Source organism: Homo sapiens, chromosome 4 (assembly GCF_000001405.40).
Source record: "Homo sapiens chromosome 4, GRCh38.p14 Primary Assembly".
In the NCBI taxonomy this organism is placed as follows: Eukaryota; Metazoa; Chordata; class Mammalia; order Primates; family Hominidae; genus Homo; species Homo sapiens.
The window spans coordinates 20,454,961-20,471,758 of record NC_000004.12 but is presented as its reverse complement, the minus strand read 5'-3'; the positions used below and the strand labels follow the sequence as shown (position 1 = coordinate 20,471,758).

At 36.5% G+C, this 16,798-nt stretch overlaps 1 protein-coding gene across 7 annotated transcripts in view; it reads right to left on the bottom strand.

Moving 5' to 3' along the window:
- The window catches only part of SLIT2 (slit guidance ligand 2), a 368,657-nt gene that overhangs the window by 148,803 nt on the left and 203,056 nt on the right, over positions 1–16,798 (bottom strand). For all 7 annotated transcript variants that reach the window (XM_005248211.3, XM_006713986.3, NM_001289135.3 and 4 more), the window contains exon 5: positions 3,936–4,007. In XM_005248211.3, coding sequence (XP_005248268.1) covers positions 3,936–4,007 — 72 coding nt within the window. The remainder of the gene's footprint in view (positions 1–3,935; positions 4,008–16,798) is intronic.

Sequence of the window (16,798 nt, the reverse complement as noted above, 5' to 3'; positions counted from 1 at the left end):
GCATCAATTTCATATTGTTGGGATACCGCCTTGAGCATATTTAGCCAATCCACAAGATTAAAGCAAATGCTTTTAGTGAAAATCTTGTGAACACTGGAATTTGCTCTAAGGCCTGAATGTGCCAAATCCCATAAACCTGTTACAGTGCATCAGACTGGGCTTTTACATAGTGCTATACAAAATATGGCCTGGGCAGCTTCTTTTTTTTCTCTTTTACTCTCTGAGTAACACTGAACAGTAGCCACAATGGCATCATGCAGGGTTTTTCAACTTGTAAATGGACATACTAGCATGACACATGGGATGAAGTACTGTACCTTCTTCTTACACCAAATACTAATAATATTAATAATGCTAATATTAATGGAAATGTATTGAGCCATGACGATGACTTATGTTCACCAGTTTCACAATAATAGGAATTAAATTTACCCTCAGTTATAATATATTTTACCAGATAGCCTTCGTAAGTTTTCATGATTAAACTTCATACAAACCCCATGAGATTGGAACTTTTCTTGAACAATGTAGTTTGAACTATTTTTTAATCCTAGAAAATGCCTTTTAATGTAAAATTTTTATAATATTGCAGCTGTGATCCTAATTCATAAAATAAACCTATACATTCATTGTGATATTTTAATATTTCCCTCATTGTCTTTCACATTGTTACATGGAAGGCAATGAGAATAGTGGGAATAAATTGTTCTTTTGATCAACATCACTCATCATCCACATAGTTTCTGAAGCCCCTTTTCTTCTGTAGAAACATAAGCTTCCAAAGTTGAAATAATGTAGATGCCACAATACTCAGCTCCCCCCATATTCAGATCCCTATAATTCTTACCACTGCGGCTATTCAAGACACATACTGCTTTGCCTTTAAAAAACAGGGATGGCCAGGTGCATAATCCCAGCACTTTGTGAGGCCAACGCGGGTGGATCATCTGAGGTCAGGAGTTCAACACCAGCCTGGCCAACATGGTGAAACCCCATCTCTACTAAAAATACAAAAATTAGCCAGGTATGGTGGCGGGCACCCATAATCCCAGCTACTCAGGGGGCTGAGGTGGGAGAATTGCTTGAACCTGGGAGGCAGAGGTTGCAGTGAGCTGAGATTGTGCCACTGCACTCCAGCCTGGGTGACAGAGCGAGACTGTGTCTCAAAAAACAAAACAAAACAAAAAAAACAAACTGGGGTTGGGCACATTCCATCCCTTACATTACACACACACACACACACACACACACACACACACACACACACACACACAGACTCCACTGCACTATGGTTTTACTCTTCCAATCTAACCATTCCCTGATAACTTCAAGCGATACTTTTCTGTTTCCTCAGCACCTACAGCCTTTAATGCCTTGTTCACAAATCAAGGTCTTGTGCATATTCATTTAGCACTTTCTATTATATTTTCTTTTTCCATTTTGTAACTTCATGTCAAAATGACCCACAATAGAATAGTCATTTCTAGTCAATATTGCTAATCATTTCATGTTACACTTTCCTGTCTCCCCTTATGATGCATTTTTTAGGGTTAACTTTTAGCATTTGATTAGTCAAATACTTGCAAATGAAATACTGTATTTTCATAGCATTTTACTGTTTCGAAAGGTCTTTCATACATCTTCTTTCCCTAATAACCATACCAAACCCAAATAACTATTGTTTACTTTATAAAAGTAAAAACTGGCCAGGCACAGTGGCTCACACCTGTAATCTCAGCACTTTGGGAGGCTGAGGAGGGTGGATCACCTGAGGTCAGGAGTTCGAGACCAGCCTGACCAACATGATGAAATCCCATCTCTACTAAATACAAAAAATTGGCCAGGCATGGTGGCGAGTGCCTATAATCCCAGGTCCTCAGGAGGCTGAGGCAGAAGAATCGCTTGAACCCGGGGGGTGGAGGTTGCAGTGAGCTGAGATTGTACCACTGCACTCCAGCCTGGGTGAGAGAGCGAGACACCATCTCAAAAAAAAAAAAAAAAAAAAAAGTAAAAACTAAGGCTTAATGAAGCTGACTAATTTGCTCATATCTGCAAGTCCAAAAAATAACAAAACATTCTGAGACTCCAGTCTTAAACTCAACTAACTGCATTAATAATTTTAAAAAAACTCATCTAACTGCATAAATGATAATAAAAAATCTTTAAATTCTGAGAAAAAATTATGCCTGTGGGGGAGAAAAGATTTGAAAACTTTGCTAAATCAACATCCCATTAGATAGAACACTGACTAGCTTCTGTTATCGCTAAACTTTTGAAATCACATGTTTTAAGGATAAATATAAAATATATAAAGAAGAATTCTATCATGACTGACTGGTCCCTATTTCCATGCGTATCCTTAAATGTGGGAGGAGGGCCACTTTTTTACTTGGATTCCCTGAATATCTTAACTAAGAAGATTAAAAGCCACCTGTTTTAAGGAATTAGAGGTAATACTACTGTAAGACTGCAAATAGCATTACTAAGGGATGGTCAACTGCAGCTATTGCCGTATTTTTACAGCTAAGTGAAGGCAACTTAAGTAAATGCTACATAGGAATTCTTGCACACTGTTCTATCCAGGTAGATTTGAACACTGTGTATCATTGAGTCTACCTGAAGACTTCTTGAAGCCCTAACTAGCAAAAGTAAAAAGAAAGCAAATAAAATCATATTAAATTGAGCACCCATAAAAACCTTACAGCCATAGTTTTAATGGCTTTATACATTTATACCTTAGAAGCCTGTAGTTGTCTGTCTTTACCTGTACATTTAGAAAGTGCAAGTTCAAAAAATCATTTACATTAAGGAGAACACATAGAGGCCAAAATCTGTGGCTTTACAAACAGTTGTCTTCTTTGACAAGGGAAAACATCTGTCTTACTTTTGCTACTGAAAAAAAAAAAAAGGCATTGGATCCAACCATGGAGAATTCTGAATATAAGTTAATTCTTGAAAAAGTGCCTGCCCTGTTTATTACTAGCTAAGAAATATTAAATTCCTGACAGTTAATCTCAGCATACAGGGGCTTTTCTCCCCTACATTCCAAACTAATGTAAAAGCTAAGAAAAACATTTATGTCCTAGGATTCATAGTCTATCAAAAACCATCATTTTTAGAAGCTAATATAGTATTTTAAAATTTAGAGAGATATTGATATTATGATTGTCACTGAGATCTTAAATCTGATATGCATCCTTAGAAATAAAGGCACTTAAAAAATGCTTATAATTGAAACACCAGACTAAAGATTTATCAAAGGAAAATACAGAAATGCACTTTCATTTTTTTAAAGGATGCTATAAATACATTCTTTCATGAGGATATGAGGGAAAGTGTAAGAAATACACTCACACAAAGGGAAAGACATAATTTTGTCATTCTCATGCTTTTGGTATTTAATGCAAAGGGTGATCTTAAAACTCTGGAAAAAGCTGTAGCTCTAGGCTACAGGTGTCTCTAAGAAGAAAATATTATCTACTATTTCCAGAAAATAATAGTCCATATTCTCATAGCACTTCTAGTAATCTTGAAAATGGAACATGGCAGAACTGGCCCAACAATAAAACTAACAGTTTTGTTTCTAATAAACACCAACAGCAACTGAATACATAGTTACTGAAGTAAGCTGATAGAAAAAGTGGGGAAAAAACACAAATATCTGCGAATCAAATCACTTCATAGGTTTCAAAAGATTAATCACAAGGATTAAAGAATGAATTTAATGATGGCTTGTTTCCAGACATCTTCTAAATGAGCATCTCGTCAAACAGCTTGTGAAAACAATTGACAACTTACTGTTACAAGGTCTCCTACGCAAGCATAAATATACACAGGGTTTTCACCATTTCTTTCTGACACTTTATTTAATATAAACTTGACTTTGAAAATAGATAATGACTTAAAACACTATAAATTTAAAAATAGATACTTACAAATTTTTTATGTCAACTGCCCCACGGAAAGCTTTCCTTGGGATTGCCTGAATTTGGTTTTCACTGAGATCACTAAAAACAACAACAACAAAAAGGATCACGTTAGAAAATATTATTTAAAGATTATTTTAATCCAAATGTTTGAGAAGTTATAGGACACCAGAAAGAAAAAAGAAAACCCTAAAAGGATCATAATTAAATCCATAGCATTATATGCAGTTTCTAATATAAATATTTTATATTTCTAATATAAATTAAAAAGTTGGAATAATGGCTTCTTGAAGTATGCTTCTAGATCTTTAATTTCATGAGAAACTATAAAATATGGTACTCGTAAATTTAAGAGTCACTGTATCTGTGTAACAAAAACATTTCTTTAAAGAATAGTAAATTGTTCATAATTCAGTTTCAGGGGATTCTGAGGTTTTAGTAGTTTATATTTCTCCAACACCCCTGGCATAACTTATAAAGTATATAGGAAAGCATCCTACTTAATTTCCCAGAGTAGAGTGGGTAAAAACTGATAAAACCTGGACAGTATGATTAAGTTTTCATAGCACTTCTAGTAATCTTGAAAATGGAACATGGCAGAACCGGCCCAACAATAAAACGAACAGTTTATGCATAAAATATTAATAGCAGGTTTACATAAAACCTTCTTTAAATAATTCTATTATAATCATAAAATAGACTGTCTATATTTGCATTTTAATTTAATTGAGAAATACATTTTAATCACTGAACAAAGCACTCTGAGCTGGAAACAGCAGTTTGTAAAAATCGCTCATCTCATGAAATGGATCATTATTTTTCCTTCAGAGAATTCCAATGCCAATTCTATGAGCTCACATAGTATTATTAGCCTTAATGAGAAGAATATAAATATACGTGCAAGAAATATCAATGAAAGCAGAAAATTCTCATCTAGTTTTAAGTAATATTACCACATAGTAGAGTTGAAATAGCAAATAAAATAAATTATTAAAGCAACAATGATGGTATTAAAATTATCTTTAAAATTCTAGGATAACTGATGCTCACAAAGAAATACGAAGCTACTAACCACAGGTGCATATCAGATGAAAACAGAGCCATTTTCCAATATGAGAAGGCATATTGGACAGACTCATCCACATCCTCTCCCCCACTGCTGCTTATGATCTGAGTTTCTTGTTCATACATTTGTGGCCACGCAACAGAGAGAGAGAGAACCGGCAGATACGGAGATTTAGTGTGTGGTCTTGACCTTATTAGCACCAAGTTTTAAGCAACGAAGAATTGCATTTATATCTCAATATCCTCAATGTTTTTTTGCTAAGCAATTCGTAAAAAAAATAAATACTAGTCTATTTAAACAGTAAAGGTCTGTAGCACAACAAATTATTTCAAACAATAAATTTCCAAAATGTGCTTATGTAGGAGTTAAGGCAGCCTTCCACTTCCTTAGTGATGTAGTGTGTTACTGCTTTCAATAGTTTCAGTATATCCCTAAGAGTATTAATCCTTCATTTCCTAAAAAATTGCTTATTTCTCCAGTTTGCCATTGATTTAGACTGACTTCCTTCCTTTGCTTAATTACATCAAGTTAATAATATTTAACAATATATATTTAAAAGCCTCGATGACAGAAACAGTGTTCAGAGAAGGCTACAGAACAAAGAGAAAGCAAAGAGAGATAGAAGACACAAAAATAAGAAAGTAATAAGAAATGAGGAGGAAAACTTTGCATTCAAGAAAATTTGAATCTGTTTACAATGCCTCCTAAAAACCATTTAGTAGTGTTTCTACTATTCTGTCTTCGCCAATTCCATGTTTTCTAATCGCTTATAATTTTCCACTTCAAAGACAAAAAAAAAAAAGCCTCAAAGAGTGTGTAGATGAATAAAAACGGCAGAGGTGTTTGCTCCAGACTTTACCTGCTCCTAGGCTCTGCAGCCTTCCCCTTCCCAACAGCTGGGGCTATGTCATTCCCCACCTATAACCTCAGTTCTGCTCAGTCCCTAGGCACAGTTTTGTCTTAGAGTCATGGAAGTAGAGTGGGCTGGGCGGAAAGTCAGGGAGATGATTTTAGGTGGTTTGTAGAAAAAATTGTGAAATGCACAGTCAGAATGCCGTTCCTTTTAAATTTGATTTTAGTCCTTCAAATTACCTTGACAGAATCCTAGGGCATCAAATAGCTAAATCCTGATAATAGAAATTTTTTGTTTGCAAAAGTGTTAGAGTGTCTTGCTCAGAGCCTCCTTATTCTCTTAAGGCTAATGGTTTATGTGTGGTTGTCCCCTGAGTAGATGGCTCCACAGGCCACACTATGGGGTCTCAGCTCTGATGCCAAGGATTAATTGTGGATCCCAGACTCCTTCAGTTAAGTGGGCCATGTGTACCCACAACAGGAGGAAGAAACTAACAAATTTTTAGTACCTACTAAATGCAATAGTTGCTTTTTAAGCAGAAATTATTCCCTTACTTAAACTCTTATTTCCTTTATTCCTCATAACCACCTTGTAAAATAGATACTGTTTCTTGGTTTTAAAGGAAAGGAAACTGAGTTTCAGAGATGTTTGGTGTTCATGCTAAACAATGAGACAAATTGTTAAAATACATATGTGGAAAACATAGGTAAATATTTAGCCAAGATTTAGGGATTTCTAAAGATGATTCCAGGAGCTACTTAATCTCAGTATGTCCTTCCTATAGTCTGAAATTTAGAAGGCTTTTCCCTAACTCATCCTAGCCTCCGACTTAATTGTTATTTGCAAAATGATGCATTAGACTATGTTTGAACAATGATCTATATTTTCTATATATAGTCAACTGAAGGTTAGCAGTTATTGCAATCCAACATACTGTTATTTAATATCTACTCTATGTTGCAAGGGCTACTGAGTTGGGTAAGGCCAATTTCCTGTCTTTAAGAATTTTCAAATCGAGTAAAGAAGATGAGGCGAATATCAAACAGAAGGATGAATAAAGTGAATTAAAAAAAATACTGACAGTCAAAAAAAGCAAGAAAGCACTTGGAATAAGAAAAAAAAGATTATGTGAATGTGTCAACACATAAAAGCGGATGGGCAGGGGAGGAACGGCAAAAATCAGGGAATGGAGGTGGAAACACACTGCATTTTTTATGCCAGTAGTTTGTGGTCTGGTTTCCTAAGAGGGTACAACGTATGCAGTGGAATAACAGGAGAAGGGGTGGAAAGGACAAATCAATGGTGCGCTGAGTGAGACATTACTGACAGCAGTGTGCTGTTCTGTGAACTGTGTGGAATGAGCAAAATGAGTCAGAACTACTGAGTCAGTGGGATGGAGCTGCCGAGGGAGGAGTCTGTAATTATATCACCAGGTAATAGAGTGTAACAGTGTGTTTCAGAGGAAGAAAATGGCTTGATTGGAGTTGATTTTTTGGAAGATTAATCTGGAAATTGAGTTTCAGATTTTTTCATACCAACTGGGGAATGCATCCTTATTTCAGCAGACAATGATGTGGAGAGGAAGGTGATAGTCGGGAGGAGGACACGGGTTCTTCCTTAGATTAACTAAACTGGCAATGGAATTTAGGACAGATACATGGGGTCAAAGGTTCAAATTTAGTTTATTGAATTTGGAAGACTAGATAAAGACTTATATGACAGCAGGGGAAAAGACAATGAGAACCTAAAGCAACCATCAACCATCAATTCATTGCTTCCTTACTCTGGGACAGTGCATGAGGCATGTCCACACTATAAACAGAAAAAATAGAGAAGACTAACAGTGATATTAGGGATGCATGAAGAACCAAAACTTAGAAACAGACTGCAAGTAAAGATGGATTAGGTAAGGGACAGAGAGGTCACAGGGGTCACTCTGAAGTTAGATGAGAGGACCATTAATGAAGTTGGGAAATCAAAAGAGCAATTTGGAGTGCTAATTATGATTATGGTTTTGAAATTTTTTTTTTTTTTTTTTGAGACAAAGTCTTGCCCTGTCTCCCAGGCTGGAGTGCAGTGACGCCATCTCGGCTCACTGCAAGCTCCACCTCCTGGGTTCACGACATTCTCCTTCCTCAGCCTCCCAAGTAGCTGGGACTACAGGCACCCGCCACCAAGCCCGGCTAATTTTTTTTGTATTTTTAGTACAGATGGGGTTTTGCCTTGTTAGCCAGGATGGTCTCAATCTCCTGACCTTGTGATCCACCCGCCTCGGCCTCCCAAAATACTAGGATTACAGGCGTGAACCACCGTGCCCGGCCTTGAAAATTTTTTAAATCTAGTTGGAGAGATGTGAGATATACATATACACACACACACACACACACACACACACACATATATGGATATACGCACACACACATATATATATATATATATATATATATATATATATATATATATATCACAGTTTGAGGTCAATGAAGATAGTTTATGGTAAGTAAATTATGAGTGGTATCTGAGAAAGATAATCAAGGACACAGATCAAAGAAGGAACAGTCATTGGCGGCTTGGTTGACCCAGGCCACCTTCCAAATCAAATGAGATCTTATGTGAAACTTGTTTAAAACTGATTAAGCTTGGTAATTTTCAGCCTTCAACGCTGGGGAAAGAGGTGGGAGGTGGTGGGTGGCAGGAATTGAAGGAGGGAGGCAGCTTGTCAGAGCAATTGAGAACACTGACTTCAGGGCCAGATTATCTGAAATTAAATTCTAGTTCTACCATTTATTAGTCATGGGACCTTGGGTCACGGTGCTTACCATCATTGTGCTTGAGTTGCTTCATCTATAAAATGAAACAATAATAGTTTATATTTCATAGGATTGTTAGGTGGATTCAATGAGTTCATACTTTTAAAATGTTCAAAAACGACTTGGCACATAGTAGGGACTAGAGAGGTGATGGTTTCATACATGTTATAATTATTCTACTTGGAGACTCTTTTATGTGCTCCTGAGTATACCTGCTAAATTCCCCAAAGATCATTGTAGTCGATGTGAGACATTTCTAGGAGTGTACTGTTCTATGACCTGTGTGGAATGAGCAAAATGAGTCAGAACTACTGTGTCAGTGGGATGGAGGAGTTTGTAATTATATCACTAGGTAATAGAGTGTAAAAATGTGTTTCAGAGGAAGGAAATAGCTTGATTGGGGTTGATTTTTAGGAAGATTAATCTGGAAATTGAGTTTCAGAGCAGACAGGGAAAATGGGCAGACAGCTGTTATCAGTGTGTCAGAGAGTCAGTGGGTCACCAGTGAAGTAGGCAATGTTTTTAGAGAACACTACGTAATAAAGTTAGGAGTTAGCATCTGGTGCAAATGTAAAATCTTCAATGGAATTTAACATGGGGTCATCTCAGGGAGAACTTACAGCCATTCAAGTTTGCTGAATAAGCAAACAACAATGGAAAAACTGTTTGGAAAAGAGGAGCATGCTAACAATGCACAGGATTTTGGAGAGTTAGGATTGAAGACAAGAAAACTAGGTTAGTTTTGTTAAGAGGATACTGCAAATGCTCAGGCATGACACTACGGAATTTTCCAAAGAAATTAAAAATATTGAGCACCTTAAACTTGAAAACCTGGTTTATTCATTTTTTAAGATCATAGAGAAATGAGGGGAGCTGGAAAGGCTTCCCCATTCTGAAGCTCATCCCAAAGAAAAGATATGAAGAACGGTGAATGTAAGCATCTTCAAATAGGAAAGGTGTTAATTTCCAGTATTTGACCGATTGGAAAGATACAGGCCTCCCAGAGCCAAGTCTGAGAAGTGTCTTACTGGCCAGTCAAGAAACCATGTAGATTACCATTTTAGACCCTCCCCCTTCTACTATATCCAATTCATTCCCAAAACCACCCCAGCAGTGTCCCCAGTCAAGTCCCTTTCTCCATTCTCCACTGCCATGGTCACTGGTAGAAACCTCATCAACACTCTTCATGGATGACTGAGACTCCAAACTGATTTCCCTGCTTTGACTTATGATTCCTTCCAAGGCATCTCCCACACTGGTACCAGAATTGTATTTCCAAATTTGAGTTTATATCAAAACACATCTTCCTGAAGCCTTCTCATCTCAGTTAAGGATACACCATCCATACTGACATTCAGACCAAAAACTCTGGAGTTCTCACTGACATATCACAATCTTCTACAATCTGCGTCCAAACCACTAGCAAATCCTCTCAGCTCTGTTTTCAAAATATATCCAGAATCTGACCTACCTGCACGTCTAGTCCCCTGATCGCACCTACCATCTCATCTTGTCTGAGTTACCTAATAGTCTCCCAACCATCTCTCTGCTTCTGCCCTTGCCTTCTTAGAGCCATATCTTGTCACATTTCTCATGAAAACTACAGATATCTTGCCTCATTACAAAGGAAAGCTCAAAGTGTCATAAAGGTTTACAAATTCCCCCCAAAATCTGATCAGCACACCCTTTTTGACCTTATCTATTTTTATCCTTTCTTTCATTCTCTCTATTTCAGCCACATTGGCCTCCTTAGGGTTACCTGCAAACTCTCATTCTCTTACTTCAGGATCTTCCTTGATAACTGCTGTGCCTCTATTTCCACCTCATTCCTTCACTCATGAATTTCATGCTCTTAATTCTCCTTTTATATGATCTTCCATATCGTTCAGCTTTTGCACATTTTCTTTTTGCCTCAAGCACCTACTTCCTATCACCGTGAGATGGAGAGTTAAACATTGTTCAAGACGCAGACCAACTCCTCAGCTGAGCCTAGTGCTAAAATCTCCATAACCTATCAACTATGTGATGCTGTGCAAAGTACTAAGCCTCTCTCTCCATTTGCTTATCTGTAAGATGAACTCATATTAAATATATCTTAGAATTGTTTTACCTAGTTATAAATAAGGTTTGTATTAACAATATAAATTAGTGTTTACATTATTAGATAATAAAATTATTGCAGAATTATTTTCATTATTGGGGAGTCCCTTGTTCCCTCTTTTGAACTCTTAAGGTGACTTGTGCTGTTATTTAGTAAAATTCTGTAATTTAAGTTGACATTTTTAGGTTCCACATACAAGTGAGATCATGTGGAATTTGTCTTTCTGTACCTGGCTTATTTCACTTAACATGATGTCCTCCAGGTTCTAAAAAAGTTGATCTCATAGAAGTAGAGGTTAAAATGGTGCCTACCTGATCTCATAGAAGTAGAGGGTAAAATGGTGCCTACCAGCGGCTGGGGCAGTTAAGGTGAAGCAGGTTGGGGAGACGTTGGTCAAATAATAGCTATTTACAATTACACAGGAGGAATAAGTTCCAGAGATCTATTGTACAGCAGGATGACTATAGTTAATGACAATATATCATATTCCTGACAAACGCTAAGAGAGTGGATTAGGTTCTCAGTACAGAAATGATGACTATGTGAGGAATTGATTTGTTAATCAGCTCACTTAAACATTCCACAATGCATATATACTTCAAAACATCATGTTTGCAATGAATATCTACAAATTTATGTTAATTTTTAAAATAAATAAATTTGAAAAAATAGTTTTAATTGAATTCCTTTCCTAAATAACTTTCTCTCCTGTTAGACAATATGATAAACAAAGGCAGGGATGTTAACTCATCTTATTTCTGCAGAATTACTGGCATGTGGTACACCATCGCCAAATGTTTGCGCAAGGGAGGCAGGGAAAAAAAAAGAAAAAATATTTATGGCCAGGCGCAGTGGCTCATGCCTGTAATCTCAGCCTTTGGGAGGCTGAGGTGGGTGGATCACCTGAGGTCAGGAGTTCGAGACCAGACTGGCCAACATGGTGAAAACTCGTCTCTACTAAAAATACAAAAATTAGCCGGTCATGGTGGCAAGTACTTGCAATCTCAGCTACTTGGGAGGCTGAGGCAGGAGAATCGCTTGAAACTGGGAGGCAGAGGTTGCAGTGAGCCAAAATTGTGCCACTGCACCCCAGCCTGGGTGACAGAGCAAGATTCCCATCTCAAAAAAAAAAAAAAAAATTCCAAACATGGCAATTTGCAAGATGTAAGGCAAGGGACACTCCTGTTAAGTAGAAGTCTGTGGTTTGAGGCCTGATAAGTAACAAAATCTGGCATTATAGACATAACCAGGGAAATTAGAAAAGAAAACTGGACTTCTGAGAGGACTTTTAAACATAATGGTATCAAGGCAACACAGGAGAGGAGAATGGCAATGTTTTATAAAATGTTGGAGATAAGAGACTACAGCTCAATGAACGGATCAGAGACAGAAACACAGATTAAAGTCTTTGTATCATGGTGGGAACTGAACTACACGCTGCATACATAAATCTCCTTTCAGGTGATATACATCAATATATTTCAGATTTGCAGGTTATTATCCCCAAGAAACTTATGCTTAGTTTACTCAAGATTTTAATATTTGCAAGTGAGAAAGTCTGCTGTGGTCTTTTCTCACCCTCACTCCTATTTTCTCATTCATGTATTCAAAAGCATTTACTGATAGCATAATATCTGATGTGATCATTGCTTTATGATAATTCTGTTTCTTTCAGGGTATGTTTTTATCACCACCTTGACTGTTGCTTCTTGATTTATATGCATCTCTTCTATGTATGTCTTTCCTCTTGCAAATCTTAATAAAATTCGATATGGAATAAGTACTTTGGGCTTTCTTTGTTGGATGTATTAATGAGGTTTTTTTTAGGGATTATTGGGACTGTTCCTACACCAAAACTGTTTTTTTTTTTCTCCCACTGGAAACCCTCAGGAACTTCTAGTTCTCAGCAACAGTTTTGTTGAACACAGTAATAATAATCTCTTTCATATAATCTCTAATATGTCTTGATCCTAGCACTTCTTGCTGTTAATAAAAAGTGTCAATAACTTACTGACAATAACTGTAAAATTCCACAGATGGAAGTGTGAAAAAGTATGCAATTTACAACTGATAAAATAAGGTAATACTCAAAGCTAACATTTATTGAGCAACTACTAACTTCCAGGGAACACATTGTATTGTTTCTATAACCAAGTCGGGATGTATTCTCCTATTTTTATTTTGGAGATGAGGAACTGGGGTTTGGAGAGGTTACATTATTTACCTGTGGCCATACAGCTAGTAAGCAGCGGAGCTGGGATTTGAACTTGCTCTGTTGTTTCTCAAACCTCCTATTCTGAAGCACTGCTATCCTGCTTCTTACAGGAGGTAAGAGGTAGCTTCTATAGAGGTCTGGCTCTCTGATATTACAGTTCAATCACCCTGGAGCTGTGGTTTCAAAATGTTATTTGAAGATCACCCATAAAAAATACCTAGGGACATTGTTTTAAAAAACAGACTTCTGAGCGCCACTCCAGAAATATTAGGCAGAATCGCTAGGGAAGAGGTCCAGGAATCTATATTTTTAACAAGTCTGCCTGGTAACTGTTATGCCCATGGTCTTTGAACCCCATGTTGGTAACCCACTGGAACTCCTCTGATAAATGGTACCTTCTAGCTTTTGTTTGGTTTACAAACATGGCATTTGTTTATTTGCATCTAGTTGGAAATTGTAGATGCCAACAGAAAATAAAAACTAGGAAGCCCCATTAAAGGCAAGAAGAGTGTATACACTCTCTGGACAAAGGAGAGAGCTGGATAAGAAAGTCCACTATTTTATAACATGAAATTTACCATTTCACCCACTTTGAAGTGTACAGTTCACTGGTGTTAAGTACGTTCACACTGTTGTGTGACCATCAAAGCCGTACTTTTTGAGAGGTCACTCTAAAACCTCTTTTTTTTTTTTTTTTTTGCATAATGTGTACTGGGACAGGTCTGGAACAGGTAATTTTGAATAGAAATCCTTGGCTCCATTCCACAAAAATTAAAACTGGTGACCAAGTGATCTTAGTCAAGTTACTGAGATTCTTTGACTCATGTTTCATTTTCTCTAACTAGGAAAAAATAATACCAAGCACTGTTGTGTCATGGTTCCCATGAAGATCAAATGCTCCGATCTATTCCTTGTGAAGCTATGAAGTGCTTCATCAGAGCACAAAAAGGCACTGGCCCATCTTACTTTCTGCACTTCCATTCATTCAATTTAGCTCACTTCAAGAATTATTTATGAAGGCAGTATGTGCCGAACACACTTAGAAATGAAAAGTTAAAAATAGCATAGTCTCTGCTCTCAAGAAGTTCAGATCCAGAAAGGAAAAGTAGATAGGTAAAGTGATCATTATGCCACTGCACTGATTAAAATAAAAATCACTAAGAAAATATAGAAAGTTTTGAAATAATAAAGGGGGAAATGTACTCTGTTACTGCTTGAAGTGTTGGGGACAGCAGATGATCATCAAAAAAGACCTTGCAATAGAGTTTAAATTTATATATATAATATCTTTAGTATCTATACATTTTTTCTTGCCAAGGGTTTGCACATGCTTCTCTCTCTGCTTGGAATATTCACATGATGTCTTTTAATTGGTTAATCCTCCTACTCATCCTCTGGGGCGGGGCTTGAACATTCTTTTTTCTAGCAATTTTCTTTGAAATGTGTTAATACTGGAGTAGTCTTCCTTCCTTGCACCCTGGTAGAATATTATACTCAACTGATAGCATACTGGATTGTAATCATTAGCTGCCTTGTTGACATATCCCATAAGAGCTGAAATTTCCCTAGGAACAGTGCAAAATTCATCATTGTATCCTAATGCTATGCCTGGTTGTGGTCAATAAAACATGAAATTAAAATGCCCATCAATGATTAGAAAATTGGTATTATACTTATGGACATTACAATTCTCAAGAAAATTACCTATTTACCAGGTACTTGGTGTCTTTCTTAGGGAATATTATATGAAAATGTCATCTAATACTTTGGCAAATTAAAACAATGATGACTTGCTCTTTGGTTCCCTAAGATAGGGTAGAGATATTTTTTTTCATGATCCAAATATCTTTAATGAAATCAGGTAAGATAAAGGTGATGTCAAAGTTGTGTTAATGTAAGTTAATATAAATACCGTGAATTTTAAGTGGTAAACAGTCTTTGAAAGCCTTTATTCAGCCTAAACTATAGTCTCAGTCTCAGTCTTGGCTGATGGACTTTAAAATCCTTTTATTCTCTCAATACTGTGTCCAGGGATATATGTGAGTTTCATATTTAGTCAACATAGCATGGATACTAACCAGGAAATAATCATTTCCTGAACACCTGACTCCATGACTTTGTGTCAGGAATTGCATTACTCATTTATGAAGACACATAAAAAATGTGATCCTATTTTTCTCATCAAAATGACTGCAATATACTGAGGAAGATCAGCCATGCATATGTGAGTAAAGAGCAGACATCAACCCAGGATGACATGCATGGAATGCATGTGTAAATAAAATAATGGGATTTAACAAGAGTGAGGTGGCATGCAAATCAGGAAGTGCTTTTCAAAGAGGAGGGCATTAAGCTGGCTCTTAGGGACAGTGATGGGGATGGTCTGGTAAGAAGAAATGGACAATTATTTCTAAAAAGGAGACCACAATGGAAAGAAGAGACAAAGGTTATGGGTGACATTGCTGGGGATGAGGGCTAAGAAAATAGTGTTTGCTGCATTTAACAATTAGAAGGAAAAAAAGAGGTTGTGTTGGGATTCTAAAACACTGACTAGAGGACTAAGAAGTTTTCAGTTAATAAGAGCAAAAATTAAGAGGACCCTTCATTCACAAGACCTATTATAACAAAGGATTTAGGAATCTTTGTGCAAGAACAACTAGAGCACAACATCTAACTGTTTGAGAACAGCAAGGCTTGTTGTTTTCTGTCCCCTGAACCCAGGTTTTTCATGTCGATGTATATACTCAATTCTGACTTTGTAAAAGTGGTCTATAAATATAGCCAATCACTATGACTTCCTTCTAGAATTTACAGACTTCAACTAAAATATGATTCTTGATCATGATAAAAAATGTGTTCAACTTCAGTTGAAAAAATGCCTAGAAATAAAGACTTCATAAATAAAACTGTAAAACATCAAATCTTCACAAGAAAATGGCCGAGAGACAGAAAATATTGCAAATGACTTTATCAGCTTTATTGAGATATAATTAACATACCAAAAAGTTTACCTGTGTAAACTGTACAATTCATAGTTTTTTAGATTATTTATGCAGTTGTGCAACCATCACCATAATCTCAGGACATTTTCATTACCCCCCCAAAAAAGCTGTGTACTCATTAGCAGTTCTCCCTTTTCTAACCCCCAGGTTGTAGCATGTATCTGTACTCCATTTATTTTTATCGCTCAATAATATTCCATTGTATAAATATAACACATTTTTGTTTATTTCTTGGCTGATGAATGCAGCAGACTCTGTAAAGCAATTTTAAAATCAATATCTATCTCTGTTGGGGACTAGCATATTTACTATTCTCTTTGGTTCCTTTGCAGCTCTTTTGTATTTGGTCTAATATTTCTTAGTGTAATAAGAGTCCATTTATTAGAGCATGGCTATCAAAGAATGCCTACTACTTTGGATGTCTCAACCCTTTTTAGATACCACACTTCTCTTAGAAGTCTTGTCTGTTCTGGTTCACCTCTAGACATTAGATTATATTGTTCTTCCCTTAATTCTACCTCCATATACCCACAACAGCTCTGCAATGCATGATACATTCTTTTGATCATGCTAGAATTTGAACAGACTATAGGAACACCTTTTAATTTGTTTTGAATTTGAGAAAAAACTGTTTTCAAAATGGGTATTGATGTATTTTCCTGTCATGTCTATCACCACATATGTGTATCCATGCTAATAACAGAGCTGAATGTACATTTTCCATAATATATAATGTATATATCCTAAACATGTATGTGTTTCTATATGTTTGACAAGAAGTGGAGTGGGGAATAGAGAGAAAGACAGAGAAAAAGAGCATTTTTT